This window comes from Homo sapiens, chromosome 3 (assembly GCF_000001405.40).
Source record: "Homo sapiens chromosome 3, GRCh38.p14 Primary Assembly".
NCBI lineage: Eukaryota > Metazoa > Chordata > Mammalia > Primates > Hominidae > Homo > Homo sapiens.
The window spans coordinates 37,210,090-37,235,356 of record NC_000003.12 but is presented as its reverse complement, the minus strand read 5'-3'; the positions used below and the strand labels follow the sequence as shown (position 1 = coordinate 37,235,356).

The 25,267-nt window shown below is 45.8% G+C and overlaps 1 protein-coding gene across 1 annotated transcript, besides 1 other annotated feature; it reads right to left on the bottom strand.

Moving 5' to 3' along the window:
* Nucleotides 5,217-5,672: a transcriptional cis regulatory region, noted in NCBI's record as "candidate enhancer chr3.1280 targeted for multiplex CRISPR interference". NCBI's record gives its function as "positively regulates GOLGA4 gene expression with high confidence in K562 cells {active_cell/tissue: K562}" and the evidence as "EXISTENCE:mutant phenotype evidence [ECO:0000015][PMID:30612741]".
* LOC124909483 (uncharacterized) lies at nucleotides 17,368-18,842 on the bottom strand. Its single transcript, XM_047449431.1, has 2 exons — nucleotides 18,773-18,842; nucleotides 17,368-18,235 (listed from the first exon to the last, which is right to left on the bottom strand). The coding sequence occupies exons 1-2, from the start codon at nucleotides 18,840-18,842 to the stop codon at nucleotides 17,544-17,546; spliced, it is 762 nt and encodes a 253-aa protein (XP_047305387.1). The 3' UTR covers nucleotides 17,368-17,543.
* Between the last annotated feature and the right edge of the window lie 6,425 nt (nucleotides 18,843-25,267).

The window sequence follows — 25,267 nt, the reverse complement described above, 5'->3', positions numbered from 1 at the left end:
TAAAAATTTAAACAAATGTTTGTTGTTAATTTAATGCCCATTACTGGCATAAAGTAAATAAACTATGGAAAAGTGAAGAGCTACTTCTTACTCTTATTGGCTCTGTTTGACAAATAGACACAAAGAACCAAAAAATGACTTGTCCATAGTAATATGATCTCAGTGATAGAACTAGAAAGTGACTCCAGGACTTCTTGCCCTCTTTCCTGGTCTCCAGCTGTGTTTAACACTTCCTTCACTTCTCTGAGTCACAGTTTGCTAATATTTTTAAGCTGTTCAACTTAATTTTTTTTTTTTTTTTTTGAGACGGAGTCTTGCTCTTTCACCCAGGCCGGAGTGCAGTGGCGCGATCTCGGATCACTGCAAGCTCCGCCTCCTGGGTTCTCGCCATTCTCCTGCCTCAGCCTCCCAAGTAGCTGGGACTACAGGCACTGGCCACTGCGCCCGGCTAATTTTTTGTATTTTTAATAGAGACAGGGTTTCATTGTGTTAGCCAGGATGGTCTCGATCTCCTAACCTCGTGATCCGCCCGCCTCGGCCTCCCAAAGTGCTGAGATTACAGGCGTGAGCCACTGCGCCCGGCCCAACTTAATTTTTAACAGTTCTGCATTTGTTTACATGACACGTTCCAGAGATATTTACATGGCTGATGACTCAAAAATGGAATCAGAGCAATCATTTGAAGAGAAAACAACACTGGGCTCAGAAGTAAATCTTATTTCAAGAATGAGGTCCCTTGGTAAGAGACAGAACTGTTCATGAGATAGAAATGAGAAGGTGTCAAATTCCCTACTCCTTACTAAGTAACTACTTGCTAATTAGACTCCTAAGTAACCTAATTCACTCTTGCAAACATTTAAATACTGTGTTTCCGTTGTAGTTTAAAAAAAAAGAGGTGCTTGCCAGTAATGTTGATAATGGTGATGAGTTCCCATGGAAAGGCTGGATAGAGTAATGAATAAGCAGATTAACATTAAAGTCAACTGATTGTGTTCAGATGCCAGCTTTGCCATTTATTATTTGTGATTGGGGAAAATAACTTCTGTATGTTTCAGTGTCTTCATCTCTAAAATTAAGACATGTAATTGTGGGTCCGGAATTGGTGGGTTCTTGGTCTCACTGACTTCAAGAATGAAGCCGCAGACCCTCATGGTGAGTGTTACAGCTCTTAAGGTGGGGCATCTGGAGTTGTTCGTTCCTTCTGATGTTTAGATGTGTTCGGAGTTTCTTCTTTCTGGGGGGTTCCTGGTCTCGCTGGCTCAGGAGTGAAGCTGCAGACCTTCGCGGTGAGTGTTACAGCTCTTAAGGCGGTGCATCTGGAGTTGTTCGTTCCTCCCGGTGGGCTCGTGGGCTCGCTGGCTTCAGGAGTGAAGCTGCAGACCTTCGCTGTGAGTGTTACAGCTCATAAAAGCAGTGTGGACCCAAAGAGTGAGCAGTAGCAAGATTTATTGCAAAGAGCAAAAGAACAACACTTCCACAGTATGGAAGGGGACCCCCGCAGGTTGCCACTGCTGGCTCAGGCAGCCTGCTTTTATTCTCTTATCTGGCCCCACCCACATCCTGCTGATTGGTAGAGTGGAGTGGTCTGTTTTGACAGGGCACTGATTGGTGCGTTTACAATTCCTGAGCTAGACACAAAGGTTCTCCACGTCCCCACTAAATTAGCTAGATACAGACTGTCAACACAAAGGTTCTCCAAGGCCCCACCAGAGTAGCTAGATACAGAGTGTCGATTGGTGCATTCACAAACCCTGAGCTAGACACAGGGTGTTGATTGGTGTGTTTACAAACCTTGAGCTAGATACAAAGTGCCGATTGGTGTATTTACAATCCCTGAGCTAGACATAAAGATTCTCCACGTCCCCACCAGACTCAGGAGCCCAGCTGACTTCACCCAGTGGGTCCCGCACTGGGGCTGCAGGTGGAGCTGCCTGCCAGTCCCTCGCCTTGCGCCCGCACTCCTCAGCCCTTGGGTGGTCGATGGGACTGGGCGCCGTGGAGCAGGGGGCGGCGCTCATCGGGGAGGCGCTCATCGGGGAGGCTCGGGCCGCACAGGAGCCCATGGAGAGGGTGGGAGGCTCAGGCAGGGCAGGCTGCAGGTCCCAAGCCCTGCCCCGCGAGAAGGCAGCTAAGGCCCGGTGAGAAATCGAGCGCAGCGCTCTTGAGCTGGCACTGCTGGGGGACCCAGTATACCCTCCGCAGCTGCTGGCCCGGGTGCTAAGCCCCTTATTGCCCGGGGCCGGCAGGGCCGGCAGGCTGCTCCGAGTGCGGGGCCGCCAAGCCCACGCCCACCCGGAACTCCGGCTGACCCGCAAGCACGGCGCGGAGCCCCGGTTCCCGCTCGCGCCTCTCCCTCCACACCTCCCTGCAAGCTGAGGGAGCCGGCTCCGGCCTTGGCCAGACCAGAAAGGGGCTCCCACAGTGCAGCAGTGGGCTGAAGGGCTCCTCAAGTGCCACCAAAGTGGGAGCCCAGGCAGAGGAGGTGCCAAGAGCGAGCGAGGGCTGTGAGGACTGCCAGCACGCTGTCACCTCTCAATTGTATCCACTATAATTCCTGTAAGGATTAAATGAGTATTTGGGTAATAGGTTGATATCTTTTGGTGGCGGGGTAGGGGTGGGAATTAAGTTTGAAAAAAATGAAATTATTGGCTGGGCGCAGTGGCTCACGCCTGTAATCCCAGCACATTGAGAGGCCAAGGAGGGCGGATCACAAGGTCACTAGATCGAGACCATCCTGGCTAACACGGTGAAATCCCGTCTCTACTAAATATACAAAAAATGAGCCGGGCATGATGGCGGGAGCCTGTAGTCCCAGCTACTCGGGAAGCTGAGGCGAGAGAATGGCGTGAACCCGGGAGGCGGAGCTTGCAGTGAGCCGAGATCGCGCCACTGCACTCCAGCCTGGGCGACAGAGTGAGACTGTCTCAAAAAAGAAAGAAAGAAAGAAAGAAAGAAATTATTAAAGTACTAGGAGAAAATGTAAGAGAATTTTATAATCTTGGAGTGCTAAAGGCCTAAGTGTAACACAAGATCCAGAAACCATAAATAAAAATAGTTTGTCAATCTATGCAAAAGTTTATTTTGAATTCTGCTTATCAAAAATACTATAATATAATGAAATATGGTGCAATTCATTGCTCTATAGTAATCATAAGACAATATAGATAAATCTTACATCATGGTGAACAGAAAAAAGACAAACGAAAGGATGTTTTAGTGTACATGATTCCCTATACAATTCCATATAAGCCAGAATTAATTTATTGTGTTAGAAGTAAAGGAAAATATTGTCTTGGGGTATAGGAAAGGCATAGCAATGGAGATGAGGGTTTCAGAGGAGATTTTCGAGCACTGATAATATTTTGTTTTGGTCATTGTTGGAGGTTACACTGATATATTTGACTTATTTCTGTTTCCCGATTGTAATGGGTACACAAATTTATGCATGCATTACAACTCATAGAGCTGTAAATCAAAAATGGAGCTCAATTTTTCTGCATGTAAATTTTAGAATAACAATATTTAGCCAAGAAAACTAATAAATAGGCACAAAATAAAAAAAAGAATGAGGCAGCTCTATATATATTGATATGGGGAGATCTCAGGATTAATTGTTAAGTGAGAAATCTATTGTGTATATAGCATGCTATCATCAGTGTGATTAAAAATTATGTGCATAAGCATATGCTATACACATATGTTAGATTGAATCTCATGGAATTGCTGATTTTTTTTAACTTCAAAAATGGCAATTTTGGTCAGACGCGGTAGCTCACACCTGTAATTCCAGCACTTTGGGCAGCCAAAATGGGTGGATCACTGGAGCCCAAGAGTTTGAGCCTGGCCAATGTAGCAGAACCTTGTCTCTGCAAAAAAATATTTAATTTAGCTGGGTTTGTGGTGTGCACCTGTAGTCACAGCTATTCTGGAGGCCGAGATAGGAGGATCGTTGCTCCAGAGAGGTAGAGGCTGCAGTGAGCTGAGATCACGCCACTGCACCCTATCCTGGGTGACAGAGTGAGACCCTGTCTCAAAAAAAAAAAAAAAAAAAAAGTCTGGGCATAGTGGCGCACGCCTGTAATCCCAGCACTTTGGGAGGCCGAGGTGGGCGGATCACGAGGTCAGGAGCTCGAGACCAGCCTGGCCAACATGGTGAAACCCCGTCTCTACTAAAAATACAAAAATTAGCTGGGTGTGGTGGCGCATGCCTGTAGCCCCAACCCCTCGGGAGGCTGAGGCAGGAGAATTGCTTGAACCTCGGAGGTGGAGGTTTCAGTGAGCGAAGATCATACCACTGCACTCCAGCCTGGGCGACAGAGCAAGACGCAGTCTCATTAAAAAAAAAAAAAAGAAAGAAAAAGAAAAGAAAAGAAAAGAAAAAGAAACCAGTAACAGTAGTTACAACCAGTGATGGAACTAAGCAGATGGCAGGATCAGTGGTGAAGAGACTTATTTTATATACTTTTTACCTTTTGAATTCATAGCCCAAGCATGTAATTCAAAAATTAATTTTAACATGCTAAAGAAGAACTAGGCAATGGACCGATACCATCAAAACTTTAAAGGAAAATTATTTTCAACCTTGAATACTTTTTGAGCCAAATATTCAATCATACATGTCCATAAATGCTTAGGAAAAACATTAAAGCACCAAATGATTAGTTGTGGATAGGTTAACTCTGAACAATGTAATTAATCAGAATCGGGGGGCAGGGGGGAGTGAAAATTTCACTTTTCACTTTGTGTGTTTTTGTATGTTTTGAAAATTTACCTTGGCTGGGCACGGTGGCTCACGCCTGTAATCCCAGCACTTTGGGAGGCTGAGGCGGGTGGATCACGAGGTCAGGAGATCGAGACCATCCTGGCTAACGGTGAAACCCCCGTCTCTACTAAAAATACAAAAAATTAGCCGGGCGTGGTGGTGGGCACCTGTAGTCCCAGCTACTCGGGAGGCTGAGGCAGGAGAATGGTGTGAACCTGGGAGATGGAGCTGGCAGTGAGCTGAGATCGCACCACTGCACTCTAGCCTAGGCGACAGAGCAAGACTCTGTCTCAAAAAAAAAAAAAAAAAAAAAAAAAGAAGAAAATTTACCATGAGAATTTAATACTTTTGTGTAGCCAACATGTAGCTGAGCCCCAAGGGCAGGAGCTATACCCTTCTTGTCGCAATCTTCGAATGAAATCTCCAAAAGAAAACAGACTCTTCCACACACTATTAAAAAATAGATATTTTACTCTTGAATGTAGAATTTCTACAGTCTAGGTTTTCTATAAGGAACAAAGGGCATAGTCTACATTGTATAGTGCACAGTATTTACTGCAAATAATCTTATTAAAAGTATCTTTTCTCCCCGAACAACTCTCCCTGCTGCCCTCTGGGTTGCTGTCTTAATCTTCCCCATGCAGACTTTGGCCTTGTTTGGCTCAGCTTTCTCTACCCAGTACAGGGACTTTGGCCATCTTTATCTCTCCCTTCCTGAAGCAGAGTTTTCTCCGCCCTACCTCTCCTGCGTTCCTGCACTTATCACTGAACCCTGTCCTCATGTTCAGGAAAGGCAATTGTTATGAGGAAGTTACAAGGAAGATTTTGCACTTAGAAAAAAAGGAAAAAAAAATCCTCTTATTACTAACTAGGAATTGCCTCCTGAGGAAGAAGGAAGGAATTTTTTTTTTCTGTCATCAATAATTTTTAAAGGGTAGCACTTAAAATTTAAGAAAATTAAATCTTAAAAAATAAAGTCCTTTTACTGACATTTTCCTAACCATGGAACTTTATTTTCAACACTAAGGATTTTTACAATACTCTTTCTTTTTTTTCTTTCTTTCTTTCCTTCTTTCTTTCTCTTCCCTCTTTATCTCTCTCTCTTACTTTCTTTCTTTCTTCTTTTCTTTCTTTCTTGAGATGGGATCTCATTATATTGCCCAGGCTGGTCTTGAATCCCTGGCCTCAAGTGATCCTCCCACCTCTGCCTCCCAAAGTGCTGGGATTACAGGCATTAGCCGCAAAATCCAGCTGAGGATTATTTGTCTTAAGCAGAGTTTCTGGGGTGCTAGGTTTCCTTCTGCTGGGGTGCTAAGCTCTTATAGGAATGGATGAAGTTCAAGGCATTGGGGCATTATTAAAAGAATTAGGCTTGACTTTTCAACCCAGGTGCGAAAGGACAAGTGTTTCACATTTGAGAGACTGGGATGTTTATGGCTGCACTTTACAGACCTTCAGAGGAGAATCAGCATTTATGCCCTCCTTCAATCAGGGGTAATTCCTCAACAGCTGCCTCCACAGTTCCTGTGGCAGCAGGAAGAGTGTAGGGTCAACCTCTCCTCACACTGGGAGGAGAGTTGGGCCTTTAGTCTCAGCTGAAAGCTCCACCCATGCCATCCCCAAGCCAAACTGTCTTTTCAGCCTGGGAAAGGTGGAGGAGAGGCTTTTCTTCTCATGGGTAGTGATTTCACCCCAGATAGCTCCTGCACCAGTTAGCTCCTCAACAGGGCACACCCAAGAACTGTTCATTCCAGATTCAACCTCCAGAAAACTCCAGAGACACCTCGATTGATAGACATTGTTACATGTGGAACTTCACGTCTGCCCAACACTCTCAGACTCAGTATTGTCTATACTTCAAGCACAATATAATTCTCATCTCCTGTCTTGATCATGGGGCACTTTAAGGGTAATAGATTTTAATACATATACACAAACACTCATGCATTTTCTGAATAAATACATTTTACTTATTTCAGACTTTGAGGATTACATTTCATTACAGAATCATCTTGCAAAAGTCACGCTCAGTAAACTGGTGTCTCTAATGGTCCCAGAAGTGTGTGATTTCAGAATTATATTCTTTCTCCATTTGAAAGGGCATTATTCAGAGTACAATGACCTGCTACTGGCTTGAACAGTCTTTGAGAGAAAAAGACAGTCTCTCTTCTATCTTTTCCTATTATGTATGAAAGAATTGCCTGTCCTCCCAAGGCCAAGGGACAAATGCCATAGCATAGCAGTGTGGGATGACTGTGAAAATATTGACATTTAACAATAGGTGCCAACCACAAACTGTGACAACTCAGCAGCTGGGCCAACCCAGGACAGGTTACAGATGCAGCCAAAAGAAGCTGTGCCCAACTAGTTCCCAGATGAAGAGGTTTCTGCTGTGGGGCAAGTCCTCTGACCCCCACCCCAGGCAACTAGAGGACAGCACTGACTTATTTGTGACTTACTGACAACCAGAGATAATCGCTCATATACAGGGAGATGGGCTGTCCTCTGTAACCTGCCCTTTTCTCTACTCATACAATTTCCCCACAACCCCTAGTGTGGAGGACATCTGCTTTCACAGGAAACTGAATGATGCCTAGGTAAGAGCTCATAGACATCAATCTACTGCCATTGCCTCCCGGTCTCCTCTACTTTCCCCGAGCTACCTTGACTTCAAGGTAATCCACCAAGTCAAGTAGAATTTGCCTGTTTCTCAAATGCTCTCCTTCCCCCTGTTCCCTATTTTCTGATATTTCCATGTATCATCATCAGTTAGGGTCAAATCAGGAAAACATAACTCATACCAGGTAAGGGGAACTAATTAAATTGGTATTGGAAAATCAAACGGATGATTAGCAAGAGCAGGGAGCTGCTACCACCCCTAGGATGAGGAGGGAGAAAGAATACTTGAGAAATAGAAGATTCCTAGGAATGGAGGGAAAGGAAAATAGAGTCCTAGGTATAGATGGAGAGATTGGCCTTAGGTGGAAAGAGACAGATCCTCTATGAAAACAGGAGGGAATAAGAGAAGATATATGCAGAAACAGGAAGTTTAAGGTCCAATAATTTTGCTAAATCCTTTTGATCAACGTTAAACAGATTTTACTTCATATAGCTTTCTTCTGCTGATGCTTTTTTTTTAAAAGACAGCATCTTGGCTGGGCGCAGTGGCTCACGCCTGTAATCCCAGCACTTTGGGAGGCCAAGGTGGGTGGATCACGAGGTCAGGAGATCGAGACCATCCTGGCTAACATTGGTGAAACCCCATCTCTACTAAAAATACAAAAAATTAGCCGGGCGTGGTGGTGGGCACCTGTAGTCCCAGCTACTCGGGAGGCTGAGGGAGGAGAATGGCATGAACCCGGGAAGTGGAGCTTGCAGTGAGCCAAGATTGCGGCACTGCACTCCAGCCTGGGTGACAGAGCGAGACTCCATCTCAAAAAAAAAAAAAAAAAAAAAAAAAAAAAGACAGCATCTCGCTCTGTTGCCCAGGCTGGAGTGCAGTAACGTGATCTTGGCTCACTGCAGCCTTGAATTTTGGGCTCAGGTGATCCTCCCACTTCAGCCTCCTGAGTAGCTGGGACTATAGGTGCGCACCACCATGCCCAACCAACATTTTAATTTTTGTAGAGACCAGGTCTCTACAAGCCCAGGCTGGCCTTGAACTTCTGGGCTCAGGTGATCCTCCCACCTGGGCCTCCAAAAGTGCTGGGATTATAGGCATGAGCCACTGCACCTGCCCCTTATAGAGTTCTTAACTGCTTCCTTCAGAATCTTTAGTATACTAACATATATTGGAAATCATTCAGAGTCTTCCCAATCATAACTGACCACAGAACCCCTTTTCATGAATCACCTAGGGGTCTTGTTTTCTGGAAGACATTCCTTGAAAAACACTGACTTACCCAATATATGCCTGGACTTTCCTAGCTATTAAATGGAGACAATAAGATCTTATCTGACTATAATTACTTCATTGTGATGTTGTAAACATAAGTTTGAAAAACATATACATTTCATTAATAAGTTCTCAGTGTAGAGATTCAAGTAAGGAAAAGCAATTTCCATCAACATTTATAGTCTAGGTGGTCATCTAGAACAGACTGTTATCTGGGAAACCTCCAAGGGTGGCATTTAATCACCTTCTGAATTTACCAAAGCTTGCAGACTCAGAAGCTGTTTCCTCAAAACACTGACAGCAGACATCTCTCAGAAGTAAGTGCACATGGACCAGCATCTCCAGATAGAGACATAAACTAAAATTTATTAATTTACAACAATGAGAGCTACCTCTGTCACATTATTTATGGTAGCCTTACTCATGCATTCAGGAGTATTTATTGATTGTCAATTACATGCTGGGCCATGAAATGGGTATAAGATGCAGGCAGCACTAATCAGTGTCCTCCAGGGATGCGATACACAAATCTCTTCCTGCTGGCATTCCCCTCCCATCACCCCCCAGGACCAAACCAGTGATGGAACGGGGCAGTGAGGACCTGACCTGAGCTGCCCGAGCTGCATGATAGCATGTGACTCAGGCTGCTAGGGAAATTAAAGGTGGTGTAAAGTTCTGTCTGCAGTAAGAGAAGAAAAGGTGAATATACCAAAAAAAAGTTGTGACAAACTGGTTTGGGAACTGAATGGAGAGAGAGTCTGGTTGACCATGAGTCCAGAGTTCAAGTCTCTGAGACCCTAGATTCTTGGGCTCTTCCTTCCACCCTCTAAACTAGCCCAGGATCCTTCCCAGTTATCTGAATCAAAAAAATCTCTTTCTGCGTAAGCTGGTTTTACTCAGGTTTCTGTCGTTTGTAACTGACAAAGTCCCAACTTCTATACCTGACATGCAACTTGTTTGGATCAAGCAAATTTGAAGTCATTTAGAGCAGCTGGTATTTCCTCATGATGCGTGAACCTCAACAAAGAAGATGAAAGAGACAGGTTAGGCAGGGAGGCTTTTAAGTCTAACGTCTGCAAAATCTGAGAAAAAGGACTAAAGAATGGCATTTTCCTTTGTGGCTTTATAAAGCACAGTGTTGCCCCTTTACAAATAGAAGAATAAGGCTGGGCACGTTGGCTCATGCCTGTAAACCCAGCACTTTGGGAGACTGAGGCAGGGGGATCACCTGAGGTCAGGAGTTCAAGACCAGCCTGGTCAACATGGTGAAACCCCATCTCTACTAAAAAATACAAAAATTAGCTGGGCATGGTGGCGGGTGCCTATAATCCCAGCTACTTGGGAGGCTGAGGCAGGGAGAATTGCTTGAACCCAGGAGGCAGAGGTTGCAGTGAGCCAAGATCGTGCCACTGCACTCCAGACTGGGCGACAGAGCGAGACTCCGTTTCAAAAATAAAACAAATAAGAAGGATAGAATTGTGCCAGTCTTTTAAACGTTTGATTGCAGAACCAGTTAGTACCAGCCTGCCAGCCTGTTTCCTCAGTGTCTGTCCACACCTGGGTTTACCATGTTCTCAGCTGCGCCCCAGCCTCCCACCCCCAGGCCCAATCATAGCCTGTTAAGAAAGCATTTGACTAGCTCTTACCTCACAAGCTATGCATCAGCATGGATTACTCTATTCTAGTTGCAGTGACCCAGTTCTGATAATTGAGCTCTAGTCTCAACAGGATCACATCCAGCATCCCCATGTGTTCCAATTACTTGGCTTCTGCCTTCTCTTTATTTCTAAATTCTTATTCTCATACTCTGCCTAGTACCTCATTCTGCCTCCTCCTTTATGGACTATAGATTTGCTCCTTCCCTCAGGCCAGGGGCCAGCATCTAGCCACCCTCTTTCCAATCTCCCTGGATTGTGCTCATCCTGAAGTCCTATCTTTCTACCATGCTTATTTATTTATTATTTTTTTTTTGATACGGAGTCTTGCTCTGTCGCCCAGGCTAGAGTGCAATGGCATGTTCTCGGCTCACTGCAACCTCCGCCTCCTGGGTTCAAGCAATTCTCCTGCCTCAGCCTCCCTAGTAGCTGGGATTATAGGCATGCGTCACCACACCCAGATAAATTTTGTATTTTTAGTAGAGACAGGGTTTCACCATATTGGTCAAGCTGGTCCCGAACTCCTGACCTCATGATTCGCCCACTTCAGCCTCCCAAAGTGCTGGGATTACGGTCGTGAGCCACCATACCCAGCCTAACCATGCTTATTTTTAACAGTTTCAGGAGGCTCAATTAATGACCTTCTACTTTCAAGTTCTGAACCAATTGAGAGAGAAACACAGAAGTCAAACAGATGGCGAACAAAGTAACAGTTTTAGAACTGACAAGAATTATATGGAAGGCCAGGCGCAGTGGTTCACACCTGTAATCCCAGCACTTTGGGAGGCTGAGGTGGGAGAATCACTTGGGCTCAGTAATTCAAGACCAGCCTGGGCAACATGACAAAACCCCATCTCTACAAAAAATACAAAAATCAGCCGGGCATGGTGGCATGCACCTGTAATCCCAGCTACTTGGGGGCTGAGGCAGGAGGATCACTTGAACCTGGGAGATCAAGGCTGCAGTGAGCCGAGATCATACCACTGCACGCCAGCCTGGGTAACAAAGTGAGACCCTGTCTCAAAAAAATAAAAATTAAAAAATAAATAAATAAGTAAGAATGATGTGGGAGTAAGCAGCTTGTTGTATGGTCCATATATTTGCTAGTAATCTTCATTCCAGACTTAAACTAACCATGCAGAAGATGTGGAGGCAGAGTGTGCTGTCCCAGTATCTGTGTCCTGATGATGGTCCTCGGGCTTAGGCTAAGCAGCAGGCTGCCAGCACTATGTCCAAATCACCCAGCCCCCAGTGACAACTGCCCTTGTGGTCATCTAATGCCTTAGTTGGGTAACCCCAGAAGCAGATGCTGAGAGTGCAAGGAGTTCATTTGAGAGACAAAGAAGGAGGGGAATTGAGAAAGTATAGGAAAGGCAGCCAAATAAAGGAGGCATGGGCATTACCCAGCCAATCACCATGAGGACAAATGGAGCTCAATCATGATAGGAAACTCTGGGAGCCAGTGTAGACTCGTGCTCAGGTATCCCACCCAAGGAATGAGGAGCTTTGGTATTTATACACTAACTTCCATTAATCATTAGCTGAAGTCTACTGGGAGCTGTGGGGAGGAACAGTAATTCCTGGACATCTGCAGCTTGCCACACAGGTGAGCAAAGTGGGCTTCAGTGACCAGAGAACAGCCCTTAGCCAAAGTTGCAGGTGTCAGCAGTTGGAAGTTGGGCTGGTGTGCCCTGAGGGGTTATGTGGTTTAGCCTCTGGATTCTATCTTTGACCTCAAGGAGAAGAATCTGAATGAGAAGCTCCTCTGCTTCCTGCTCAAGGGTGACTATGACTCAGGCTCATAGTTACTTCTCCTGCACCCCCAACCCCCTCCTGCTTACCCCCCAGGACCAAACCAGTGATGGAACAGGGCAGTGAGGACCTGACCTGAGCTGAACCAGCAGCTGTTGCTCTGGTAGCAGCTACTGGGAGGCCATGGCTATGAAATCTGAGGACTTCCCTCCAGACAAGAAGGGACTGAGGGAAGTCCTGATCAAAGGACTGAGAAGGAAGGTAAAGATTAGGCATTTCCCATAGTAAGTTGTGAAGCAAAAGGAAATATTTCTAAAGTAGCAATAATAGACAGGGCGCAGTGGCTCAAGCCTGTAATCCCAGCACTTTGGAAGGCAAAGTGGGAGGATCAGTTGAACCCAGGAGTTTGAGACCAGCCTGGGCAACAAAGCGAGACCCCATCTCTACAAAAAATAAAAAAATTAGATGGCCGTGATGGTGCACACTTGTAGTCCCAGCTACTTGGAAGGCTGAGGCAAGAGGATCACTTGAGCCCAGGAGGTCAAGGTTGCACCTATGATTGCATCACTGCACTCTAGCCTGGGCAACAGAGCAAGACCCTGTCTCAAAAAAATAAAAATAAATACTATTGATAGCACAATAAGGTGACTATAGTCAATAATAACTTAATTGTATATTTTAAGACTATAATTGGATTGTTTGTAACTCAAAGGATAAATGCTTGAGGGAATGGATACCCCATTCCCCATGATGTGCTTATTTCACATCGCACGCCTGTATCAAAACATCTCATGTACCCCATAAATATATACAGCTACGATGTACCCACAAAAATTTTTTGAAGTCATAAAAAAATAAATAAAATTAAAATAAAGTAGCAATAACCAAAAACAAATTGTGGTCAACCATGTAAGAGGAAAGACTGAATTACCTTCTATTCTCTTTCTAGAAGATGGCGTTACAAAGTTGGTGTCATATGAAGAGATAACCAAAGAGTAGACAGACATAAAACATAGGAAAACATATTATAGAAGTGAGATGGGCAAGGTGGTTGGATTTCAAACCGTGCCAGATTACAGGCCACCCCGGGCACAGTGGTTCACGCCTGTAATCCCAGCACTTTGGGAGGCCAAGGCAAGTAGACCACTTGAGTCCAGGAGTTTGAGACCACCCTGGGCAACATGGTGAGACGCCCCCCCTCTACAAAAAATACAAAAAATTAGCCTGGTGTGGTGGTACGTGTCTGTGGTTCTAGCTACTCGGGAGGCTGAGGCAGGAGAATCGCTTGAGCCTGGGATAGGGAGGTTGCAGCGATCTGGATTCTGAGACTGCACCACTGCACTCCAGCCTGGGTGACAGAGTAAGACCTTGACTCAAAAAAAAAAAAAAAAAAAAGTGAGATGAACGTAGTGAAAAAGTGAAAATATAAACCCTCTTCTTTCTTTTTTGTATGACACAGTGGCTGGATGAGACAGTTCCAGTGGCAGCTTCAAGTTCTGTCCAGAGTCAGACCTCTGTCCCCACCAGTTCTCTTTGACATTCAGGCACTTTTTTCTAGTTCTTACTCATTGCACCAAGTCCCTTTCTCCCTTTGAGCCTGCTCTCTGAGCCTCCATTGTCTGCAATCTGAGCATCACTGGAGTGACTCACCTATCAGATATGTTTATATAGTTGGTATGTGTCTGAACTCTAGGGATTGTTAAGAAATAAAGGTGCTCCTTAGGAGCAATCTCAGGAGATTCTAAATTCCCAACGTGGATTAGCAAAAAAGGAGTGTTATCTAACCTCTCTGCCAATAGCATTGCATGCAGCTCATGTCTACTTACATACCATGGGTAGTAGTCACAATTGGTACTCTCTCCAGATACCTTTACCTGATGGTGAGTTTGGGGCTGCTATGACTGATGTGGCTAACGACTTTACCTATGAGCTTCTGTAGTCACTGAGCACTTGGCATGTGACTAAAGAACTGAGCTTTAAATTTTAACTCCTTTTAATTAATTTAAATTTAAATAGCTACATGTGGCTAATGGCTGCCATACTGAACAATACAGCTCCAGAACCGCCCATGGATCAGTCCAAAGCTAGACTTTGCATGCAACCACATCCTTGCTCATCTCTTTCCTTTTTCCTTCTCTATTTCACCTCCTGCTTTACTAATCTCCTGAGAGCATGACCTCAATAAATCATGTGCACTCAAATCCCTGTCTCAGACTCAACTTCTAGGGAACCCACCTGAGACACTGTGTTACAATTATTTAACAGTGAATTACAGAAAGCTTAAACCTTGAATCAAAAGTGCACATAAAAATTCAATGCCAGTCAGAATGTTTTTAGCAGAAGGTATAAAAGAGTCCCAAGCCCAACTGTCTTAAACAAAGAAATGTGTTATTCTGCACCTACGAGTCCAAGAATAGGACAGCTCCAGGGTTGGGTAATTCCATGGCTCAATGACACTTTCAAGAACCAAGTTCTTTCCATCTTGCTGCTCTGTCATTCTGCTGGGCAGGCTTCATTTGGGGGCTAGCTTTCCCCTTCTTGTTGCAAGGTGACTGCCCTAGTGCCAGCCTTCATATCTGGATACAACCATACTCAGAATAAGAAAAGACCATCTTTTCTTGTATGTCTTTTATTAGGAGCAAGAAAATCTTTCCCAGAAACCCCCTGCAGATTTATCCTCCATTTACTGGTCAGAGCTGCATCGCATGGCCTTGTCTAAACCAGTCCCTGCAAAGGGAAATGGGAAGACCATGATTGCCTTTGAACAATCAGGATCTACTCCCTGGGTCTGTGGCCAGCCTCTCCTGAAGCACATGGTTGAGCAGAGAAGGGTGGGTACCTAAACACAACATACCATCTGTTGTAGGGGTTGGGAAGCTGGATAAAATGAGTGTTTGGTAACCACAGTATCGGCTGGTCACAGTTTCTCATGCCTGTAATCCCAGCACTTTGGGAGGCTAAGGCGGGCGGATTGCTTGAACCCAGGAGTTCAAGACCATCCTGGGCAGTATGGTAAAACCTCACCTCTATTTTATAAAAAAAGAAAATTAAAAAAAAATTAAAAGATAACCACAGTATCAATTACACGTTTCTTTAGGCCAGCTTGTACAATGTGTTCTTTGAACCACCTACCCGAAGATCATTTAGGGGGCTTGTTAACATGCAGATTCTGAGGCCCAAAGCATTGTCTGATACATGTCAGGAGCTTAAAAGATACTTGTTGGTGAAATACTTTCTGGGAAGCCAAAAATAAAAATAAAAATAAAAATAAAAGAGATTTTTCGGAAGGAAGGAAGGGAAGGAAAGAGAGAGACCTTTTGAGTTAGAATCACCTGGCCAGGCACATTGGCTCATGCCTGTAATCCTAGCACTTGGGAGGCCAAGGTGAGCAGATCCCTTGAGGTCAGGGGTTCGAGACCAGCCTGGCCAATATGGCGAAACCCTATCTCTACTAAAAGTATAAAAAAATTAGCTGGGTGTGGGTGCACGCCTGTAATCCAGCTACTCAGGAGGCTGATGAAAGAGAATTGCTTGAACCCAGGAGGCAGAGGTTGCAGTGAGCCAAGATCACGCTCCTGCACTCTAGCCTGAGACTCTGTCTCAAAAAAAAAAAAAAAAAAAAAAAAGAATCACCTGCAGATGGTTTTTCTACTCAGTAATGCTGGAGAACCACTCACTTAAGCTGAAAACTAAAAATTCACCTTCAGTCCCTTCATTACCAGTCTCTTGGCAGAAGGGATGAAGAATGTGATCATGTTGCCACACGTATGCTGCTTTGCTCTAAAACTCTCAGTGATGTCAAGATGACAAGGGTGCTTATCAGTTGTACTTAACATACATTATTTATATGGCTTTCAGCTTTACTTGCTGAATCCAGGATTCCTGTTACAGCACCTCATGAAAAATAAATGAATGTGATAATGGCTTCCACTTTGTGGAGTAATATATTGAAAAACCATCTAAGAAGTTTGTGAAAAGCAGCATCTGGGATCATTTTTTTTTAATGCAATAAAAGATCTTGGAGGTGATTTTGGCATATAAAAAGCAGCTGTCACCAACAGGAAAGCCTAGCTGTTTATCTTCTGGACTCTAAATGGAGTCTGATAGAATGCTCACTCTCCAGTTAACTAACATTAATTGCCAGGGGAAAGGGAGCTTGAGAAGGGAGGAACTAGCTTTTTTTGTTTTGTTTTGTTTTGTTTTGAGGCAGAGTCTCACTCTGTCACCGAGGTTGGAGTACAGGGGTGCCATCTCGTCTCACCGCAACTTCTGCCTCCTGGGTTCAAGTGATTCTCATGCCTCAGCCTCCCAAGTAGCTGGGATTACAGCCATGTGCTAACATGTCCAGCTAATTTTTTGTATTTATAGTATCATGGGATTCTTTTTTTTTCTTTTTTTCTTTTTTTTTTTTTTTTTTGAGACGGAGTCTCACTCTGTCCCCCAGGCTGGAGTGCAATGGCACGATCTTGGCTCACTGCAACCTCCTGGGTTCAAGAGATTCTCCTGCCTCAGTAGCTGGGATTACAGGCGCATGCCACCACACCTGGCTAATTTTTGTATCTGCAGTAGAGATGGGGTTTCACCATATTGGTCAGGCTGGTCTCGACCTCCTGTCTTCGTGATCCACTTGCCTCGGCCTCCCAATGTGCTGGGATTACAGGCGTGAGTCACCACACCCGGCCTGTATCATGGGATTCTTGGGGTGTCACTTCACCAGCTGGAAACTTCTGAGGCCAGTGGCTTTTTTTGCCTGAGTTTTGCTCAGGCCCACTGGGCTTATTCTGGCTGCTCAGCCTGGCAGGCTGTACTCATATTGCACTATTGGCCTGGAGCCCACTGCCTGCCAATGGCAAGCCAGGCATGGAGCAGCAAGGGGTGTGTGAGCAACTGTAGGGTCTGGCCATTGCGCACAATCAGGCACACCAGCTATGGCAGAGTGGGCAGCTCCAGGTGCTGGCATGGGTCCCAGCTCCCTGGGAGGCTGCAGCTGGGCCAGGCATACTGCAAGCAGCTTCCATGGCTGGCACCAGGGAACACAGTGGTGCCCTGAAGCTTGGAGATGCCAGGAACCCCAGAGTTCCAAAGAGGGTGTCACAGCCCTGGCTCAGGGAGCTCCTAGGTCTGGGCTCCCCAATGGGCCACAGCTCTTCTCTCCCTCTCTCTTCTCTCCTTCTTGTCACCTGCAATGTGGCAAGCAAGAGGCATGTTTCAGCCCTGTTTGTGTTACAGCTCTTTTAGCCCTGCCATTTGGTGGGTCCCAAGTTCTTGTCCTGTGTCCAGAAAGAATGAGGTATGCAGACAAATGGAGGGTGAGCAAGGCAAAAAGGAGCTTTATTGAGTGACAGTATAGCTCAGAGGAGACCGGCATTGGGTAGCTCCTCTCCACAGGCAAGATGTCCTGATGAGCATTCAGCTCACAGCAGAGAGGAGAACCTGGAGTGGGTAGCTCCTCTCTGCAGCTAGTCGTCCCATTGTATCTTCAGCTCTCAGCCAACAGGAGTCCCTGGGGTCGGTAGCTCCTCTCCACCACTGGTAGTCCTGTCATCTCCCCAAGTCTGCCTGAGTCTGGGGTTTTTATGGGCTTCAGAGCAGAGGACGTGCATGCTGATTGGTCCATGGGCAGCCATGGGCAGGCCCAGGAAAAGCACCACAAGTTTCCACTCTGGTCCATGGGACCAACAGCCTGGCCATCAGGCTTCAGGCTCTCCCCAGCTTGAAGGTGGAGCTTCACTGGAGACCTGCCCTCTTCCGCCCAGGAGCCTCTCTGCCTCTTGCTGCAGCTCATGGCATGCCAGGCTGTTTGTGCGGAAGGGCGCCTGCAGACCAGCAATGAGCTGCCCTCAGCCCCCACCTCAGCCTCCCTCTCGTACTGATCAGTGCCCAAAGTCCAGAGGGGGCCAAGGCAGCAGGGGGCTGCTGTGTCACAACCTGGCTGGGCTGTGACAGCACCCAGGCTTGACCCCAACCTTGCTCCAAGATCGGAGTGGGTGCCAGGAGCAGAGAGAGTCCAGGAAGTGGGAACAGACACCTCTGAGTCTGCAGGGGCAGGGGGGCCCTTCCTGGCCCCAGAGAGTGCAGAGATGCCTGGGTCTGCAGCTGCAGTTTGGGCAGCTGCGGCTGCGCCCAGGAGGGTGGGGCTCTTGCCTGCTTCCTGCAGAGACAAGAACTTAACTTTTCACTGTGACTTTTTGTAACCTGAATGCTTTGGCCTAGTTAAAAGATAATTATCTATTTTAAATGTAGACAGATATAGTGACTCTAAAATCAAGACAGGTTAGTTAAGCCATCCCAGTATGAAATTCGCCTTGTGCCTGCATTTGGGGGAGTAAATTCCAAAACAGGCTGTTCTTCAGCACTGGAATCTTTCCTTGATATCATAACTGCAATTCGTTTAAGTTGCTTTGTAAAGAGAATCCAATCATGTAGAGACTTATTGAACTTAGTGGGCAGGGTAACAAATGAGAGAACACTTGTCATATGTAAAGCTCCATGCCTCTAACTAGGAAAGAAAAAAATCTACTTTGTGGTTCAGAGGTGACAAATGCAATAAGTTTCTAATGTGGTTTCCACTATGCAGTCTTACTGCTCTCATGATTTTTAGGTCTTTGGTCTGGGAGGATAGGGATGGGAGGACGGAATAATTAGATGATTCTCCACTCCAGAATAGATGCTGCAAGTTGGTGTGTCCCAAATGTCAGTGGGACATACATATCTCTGGGGTTACATAAGGGGATTTTAGGTGCTCCTTGGCATTTCCTAAGTATGATCTGCCTTTCATGGTGACCCTTTTCCTCTACTGCCCTTTAGGGGAAAGGGCTTGCCAGTTCTGGACAAGGCCAGCAGAGAGAAACATGCTTGCAGGACTACTCAGAATGGTGGCTTCTTCTGCTAATGGAGGCCTGGTGAGAAAAGACTGTCTCAACACCTCAGTCAGGGTCAGCGGAGGAGTGACCTTCCCTGCCCCAGGGCCAGTTCGATGTGTGAGCCTTGGAGCTGATGGAGGGAGGGAGAAGGCATCATGCTACCTGCCTCCTCTGGGTCTGATGCTGCAAGTGATGGTGCAGTTGGATATGTGGAAAATGTTATCCTAGATGATGTATAATTCTCTGCAAATTATAAAGCTTAAGGTAATCATATACCACTCTACAACTCATTTAAATGAGTTGAATATTGGTTGAATACATTTCTTTTTCTCTTTTTTTTTTTGAGACAGAGTTTTGCTCTGTCACCCAGGCTGGAGTGCAGTGGCACGATCTCAGCTCACTGTAACCTCCGCCTCCTGGGTTCAAGCGATTCTCCTGCCTCAGCCTCCCAAGTAGCTGGGACTACAGGCATGTGCCACCACTCCTGGCTAATTTTTGTATTTTTAGTAGAGACAGGGTTTCATTATGTTGGCCAGGCTGGTCTCAAACTCCTGACTTCAGGTGATCCATCCGCCTCAGTCTCCCAAAGTGCTGCGATTACAGGCGTGAGCCACCGCGTCTGGCCAGAATACATTTCTTAAATTATTTTCAGATACCTTCCCAGAACCTGTCAAGTTATGAGAAGGCTCAGGGCTACTGAGCTGATAGTCTCAAGTTTTCTATATTGGTCACATAACATTAACTACTTAACCACCTAGGTTCCGGGCTGTCTACTTATTTCAGACTCATGTTTCTGAAATAAACATGGCTCTCTTTCTATGGCCCTGGCCTCAGGCTTGCTGCTGGCCATTTTCAACCAAAGTTCCCTCTGTAGTGCTGTTCTGCGGACAGCAACAGAACAGATATCATCAGGCAGGGGCAGTGACAGCCAGATATTAAGAGATGACCAGCCCTGGCTGGGCGCTGTGGCTCACACCTGGAATCCTAACATTTTGGGAGGCCAAGGCAGGTGGATCACCTGAGGTCAGGAGTTCGAGACCAGCCTGGCCAACATGGTGAAACACCATCCCTACTAAAAATACAAAAATTAGCCAGATGTGGTGGCATGCACCTGTAGTCCCAGCTGCTCAGAAGGCTGAGGCAGGAGAATTGCTTGAACCTGGAAGGCGGAGGTTGCAGTGAGCTGAGATTGTGTCACTGCACTCCAGCCTAGGCAAGAGAACGAGGCTCCATCTTAAAAAACAAACAAACAAACAAACAAACAAACAGAGATGACCAGCCCAAAGGTAATGAACAGACAAGGGAGTTGAAAGTTACCAAAGAGACACACGGATCAAGTCTGCAGAAGACAGAGCGTAGAGTCCTGGATTAGATGATAGAATCCAGATTCAATGAGGGCTCAGTTAGCTAGAATGTGAGTCCAAACTGACAAGAGGAAAATTTAAAGGAATACAATTTTACCTGCTTTTGCTTTTGGTATCACCATGCCATAGGCATTGATGGAAGACACTTGGCCTGGGAGCAATTTTATGTGAAAAATATCTTGGGGTTTCGATCAGACAACCCAAATGTAAGCCTGGACTGTTAATACAGGACTAAGGAGAATGGGATATAATGAATCTCTTGAACTCTTTTTTGTTTTTTTTTCCAGACAGGGTCTCACTCTGTTACCCAGGCTGGAGTGCAGTGGCCCGATCTTGGCTCACTGCAGCCTTGACTTCCCAGGCTCAAGGGATCTGCCTGCCTCGGCCTCCCAAAGTGCTGGGATTATAAGCATGAGCCACTGTGCTCGGCCTGGATTCCTTGAATACTACACTTCAGACTACACCTGGGATATTTGGGTCCTGGTCTGACTATAATGACTGAGATGAGATATGAGCAGAAGGTATACAGATCCTCTTTCCTGGTCACCCATTTCCCACATGCTGTTGAGCGTCAGCTGCTAACCCTCCTGAGAACTGCCCTTGCCCAAATGGGAACCACTTCACTCAGGAAGGTTTCCTCGAACACCCCTCACCCCCAGAGCCAATGACTGAGTGTCACAGTATACAAGACTGAACCCCTTGCCTCAAGGTGAGACTCACTCTGTAGCACCACTCAGGATCCAGAGCTCCCCGTGGCATCAGGCTGGGCTGGTCTCTGGCTAAACTGCATCCTTGCTTAGCTCCGCCCTCTTGCCCATCCTGTTTCCCTGGCTTCCCTACAGGTTTCCCCTGTGGCCACTCCCCAGTAAATCACTTGCACCAGCATCCCTGTCTCAGATCCTGGATGATGAATGAAGGCTCTGGGAATCATTCAGGGAGAGATAAAGAAGCTAAAATATTTAGGAAAAAAGATTTAGGGAAATATGATAAGCAGCTGCCTTCAATTTTTTTTTTTTTTTTAGAATTAGAGGGCTGGGTGCAGTGGCTCACACCAGTAATCCCAACACTTTGGGAGACCAAGGCAGGAGGATTGCTTGAGCCCAGGAGTTTAAGACCAGTTTGGGCAACATAGCTAGACCCTCTCTCTACAAAAAATAATTTTAAAAATCAGCCAGGCAGGACAGGTATGGTGGCTTACATCTGCAATCCCAGCACTTTGGAAGACTGAGGCAGATGGATTACTTAAGGTCAGGAGTTCAAGAATAGCCTGGGCAACATGGCGAAACCTCATCTCTACTAAAAATACGAAAATTAGCCAGCGTGTTGGTGCACGCTTGTAATCGCAGCTGCTTGGGAAGCTGAGACAGGAGAATCACTTGAACCTGGGAGCTGGAGGTTGCAGTGAGCCAATATTGTGCCACTGTACTCTAGCCTGGGTGACAGAGTGAGACTCTGTCTCAAAAATAATAATAATAATAATAAATTAGCCAGGCGTGGTGGCACACACCCATGGTCCTAACTACTTGAGAGGCTAGCTAGGAGCTAGCCCAGGAGTTTGAAGCTGCAGTGAACTATGATCACGCCATTGCACTCCAGCCTAGGCAACAGACCAAGATCCTGTCCCCACCCCCCCCCAAAAAAAATTAGAAAGTAGAAAAAGAATTGTATAGAAATGGAATAAAAGCAGAATTTGACTCAGTTTCAGAAAGAACTTTCTAATAAGCAAAGCTTTACACCATAGGTATAGCCTGTCTTGTAGAATAATTGGAAACCTGTCATCGGAAATATTTACACAGAATCCAGAGGACCTTCCTACATCATCTGGTGAGTCACTGGACTGACCAAAGGCACACTGTGAATGTTATTACTCCAAGTGGCCACAAGATGGCAGCAGCAGAGAACGTCCCACAGGTGATTAAGTAGAAAATTCTAGTTTCCAGAATTTTTTTTTTTTTTTTTTTTTTGAGACAGAGTCTCACTCTGTTGCCCAGGCTGGAGTGCAGTGGCACAGCCTCGGCTCACTGCAACCTCCACCTCCTGGGTTCAAGCGATTCTCCTGCCTCAGCCTCCCGAGTGGCTGGGATTACAGGCGCCCACGACCATGCCCCGCTAATTTTTGTATTTTTAGTAGAGATGGGGTTTCACTATGTTGGCCAGGCTGGCCTCGAACTCCTGGCCTCAGGTGATCCACCCGCCTCAGCTTCCCAAAGTGCTGGGATTACAGGCATGAGCCACTACGCCCAGCCGTTTCCACAAATTTGATTCCAAACTCTAACCATGATGATAGGTGTTATGTCCATTATTATAAGCCCTTATAGATTTATGATACACAAAACTGAGAAAGTAAAAACATTTCCCCCAAATTTGTATCTTACTATTAGAAAAAAAGGAAACTGAAGGCCGGGTGAGGTGGATCATGCCTGTAATCCCATCACTTTGGGAGGCTGAGGCAGGTGGATCACCTGAGGTCAGGAGTTCCAGACCAGCCTGGGCAACATGGCAAAACCGTCTCTCTACTAAAAATACAAAAATTAGCCAGGCATGGTGGTGCACACCTGTAATCCCAGCTACTCAGGGGGCTGAGGCAGGAAAATCGCTTGAACCCAGGAGGCGGAGGTTGCAGTGAGCCAATATTATACCACTGCACTTGGGCAACAGAGCAAGACTCTGTCTCAAAAAAAAAAAAAAAAAAAAAAAGAATCTCAGAGGTAGAAAGAGGTAAGCCCTGATCAGTGAGGTTTATCCTGATTCAGAGAAAATGTGCTTCTTACATTCTGATCATGATGCTACTTCCATCTGACTGCACAATTTCCAGGCCCAATCATTGTGTACCTTCCAAGAGAGGGAGTCTGTATTTGAAATAGCCTCAATAATGAGGCCACACATTAGGCTCAGCCTATGTTGGCTTATGGTTCTCACAGAAAAAATTATCCACACTGCTAGTCTTCTTCCTGCACCAACCTCAAAGTCTACAGAAAGATGTCCCAGCACTGGGAGCTTGAATAACACCTCTACTGGGGAACCGAAATATACCAGTGATTCAATGAAGCAGATTAATATCAGAGTTCTGTTTGCAACCCTGAGGCCAGTCAATCCTACCAGCCCTTGCCTCCATCTGTGGTAGCCAGCCTCCAAGATGGCCCCCTATGATCTTTTCCTCCTGATATCTATGCCCTTGTATCATCCCCATCACACTGAATCATGGCTAGTCTGTGTGAATGACAAGATATGTAGAAGTAATGGTGCATTTCTTCTAAGACTAGGCCATTAAAGACACTTGCAGCTTCTTCTGCCATTCTCTCTTGGATCATTCACTGTGGAGGAAACCAGCTGCCATATTGTGAGGACACTCAAGCAGCCCTATGGAGAGGTCCTCATGGGGAAGAACTGAGGCTTCCTGCCAATGGCCAGCAGTTTGCCAACCACATGAGGTCCTCTAGCCCCATTCAAGCCTTCAGATGGCCACAGCCCCAAGTAACATCATAAGAGACCCCAGGTCTAAACTGCCCAGATCTGCTTCTCCTGAATTCCTGACGCACTGAATCTGAGTTAATGTTTATTTTTGTTTTAAGCTACTATGTTGTTTTGTTTTGTTTGTTTTTGAGACAGGGTCTTGCTCCAGGCTAGAGTGCAGTGGCACAGTCTCGGCTCACTGCAACCTCCACCTCCTGGGTTCAAGTGATTCTCATGCCTCAGCCTCCCAGTGAGCTGGGATTACAGGCACTTGTCACCACACACAGCTAAATTTTTTGTATTTTTAATAGAGATGTGGTTTTGCTATGTTGGCCAGGCTGGTCTTGAACTCCTGCCCTCAAGTCATCTATCTGCCTCGGCCTCCCAAAGTACTGGGATTTACAGGTGTGAGCCACTGGGCCCGGCTTAAGCTACTAAGTTTTAAAGTAATTTGATATGCAGCAATAGGTAACTAATACAACACCCAAAATGCCACCATCCCTGACCATATACACTCTCTTCTCACTTTCCTCTCTATACTCTGGCCACTCTCCTTACTATTCTGGTTAAGTAATAATAACCTGCTAACTTTGAAACTTAATAGATATTTTCCAGACCTTGCATTACTGCATCTCTCTGCATAATTTTTACGATGGGAAGAATCTTCTTGAAAATTCCTATTCTCTGACTTCCTTGACACTGTTCTGACCTGGCTCTCCTGATTTTCTCATTCAGGTCTTCCTGTCTGAATGAGAAAATCATTCAGGTTTTCTCCTGAATTGTTCTCCTGAATGATTTTTTCATTCACGTCTTTCTCCTTCAAAGATGCTCCTCTTCCACATGCTACCTAAAATGTTGGCCTTGCATCAAATTCGATTCCTGTTCTCTCCTTTTGACCCTGAACCAACTCCTTGGGTTATCTTGCTGTTCCCCTAGCTCCAATGACCATCACTTCGAAGATGACCACCAAATCCATCTCTCCAGCCCACATTGCACTCCTGAACCTCATACCCTTAAATCCACCTACCCACAGGCAGTGGTGTGCTGGAGCCTGCTCACACCAACTTGTGAGAGCCAACAGTGCACATCTCTTCTCAACTCTATATTTAGCAATGCCACATTGGCAGCTTGAATACCAACGGTGGGAGTGTTGATGTTGTGGAATTCAACAAATGCTGCAAATCGGAACTTTTTCCACTGAGAGCCAGTTGATAAACATTTACCAGCACACCACTGCTCTTACCAGATGCTTCTGCCTTCTGTGTCCCATAAATACCTCAATTCAACATGTCCCAAGCATGTCCCAAAATGTATTTTCTCATTCATTCAAAAATACTGGCTGAGCGTGTTGGCTCACGCCTGTAATCCCAACACTTTAGGAGGCTGAGGCAGGTGAATCACCTGAGGTCAGGACTTCAAGACCAGCCTGGCCAACACGGTGAAATCTTGTCTCTACAAAAATACAAAAATCAGCCGGGCATGAAGGCAGGTGCCTGTAATCCAAGATATTTGGGAGGCTGAGG

Coding starts and splice junctions, on each gene's coding strand:
- LOC124909483 (XM_047449431.1), bottom strand. CDS start 18,842: ATGAAAGGCAGATCATACTTAGGAAATGCCAAGGAGCACCTAAAATCC. Junction 18,236..18,772: donor TTATGTAACCCCAGAGATAT/GTATGTCCCACT, acceptor CACAGTGAAAAG/TTAAGTTCTTGTCTCTGCAG.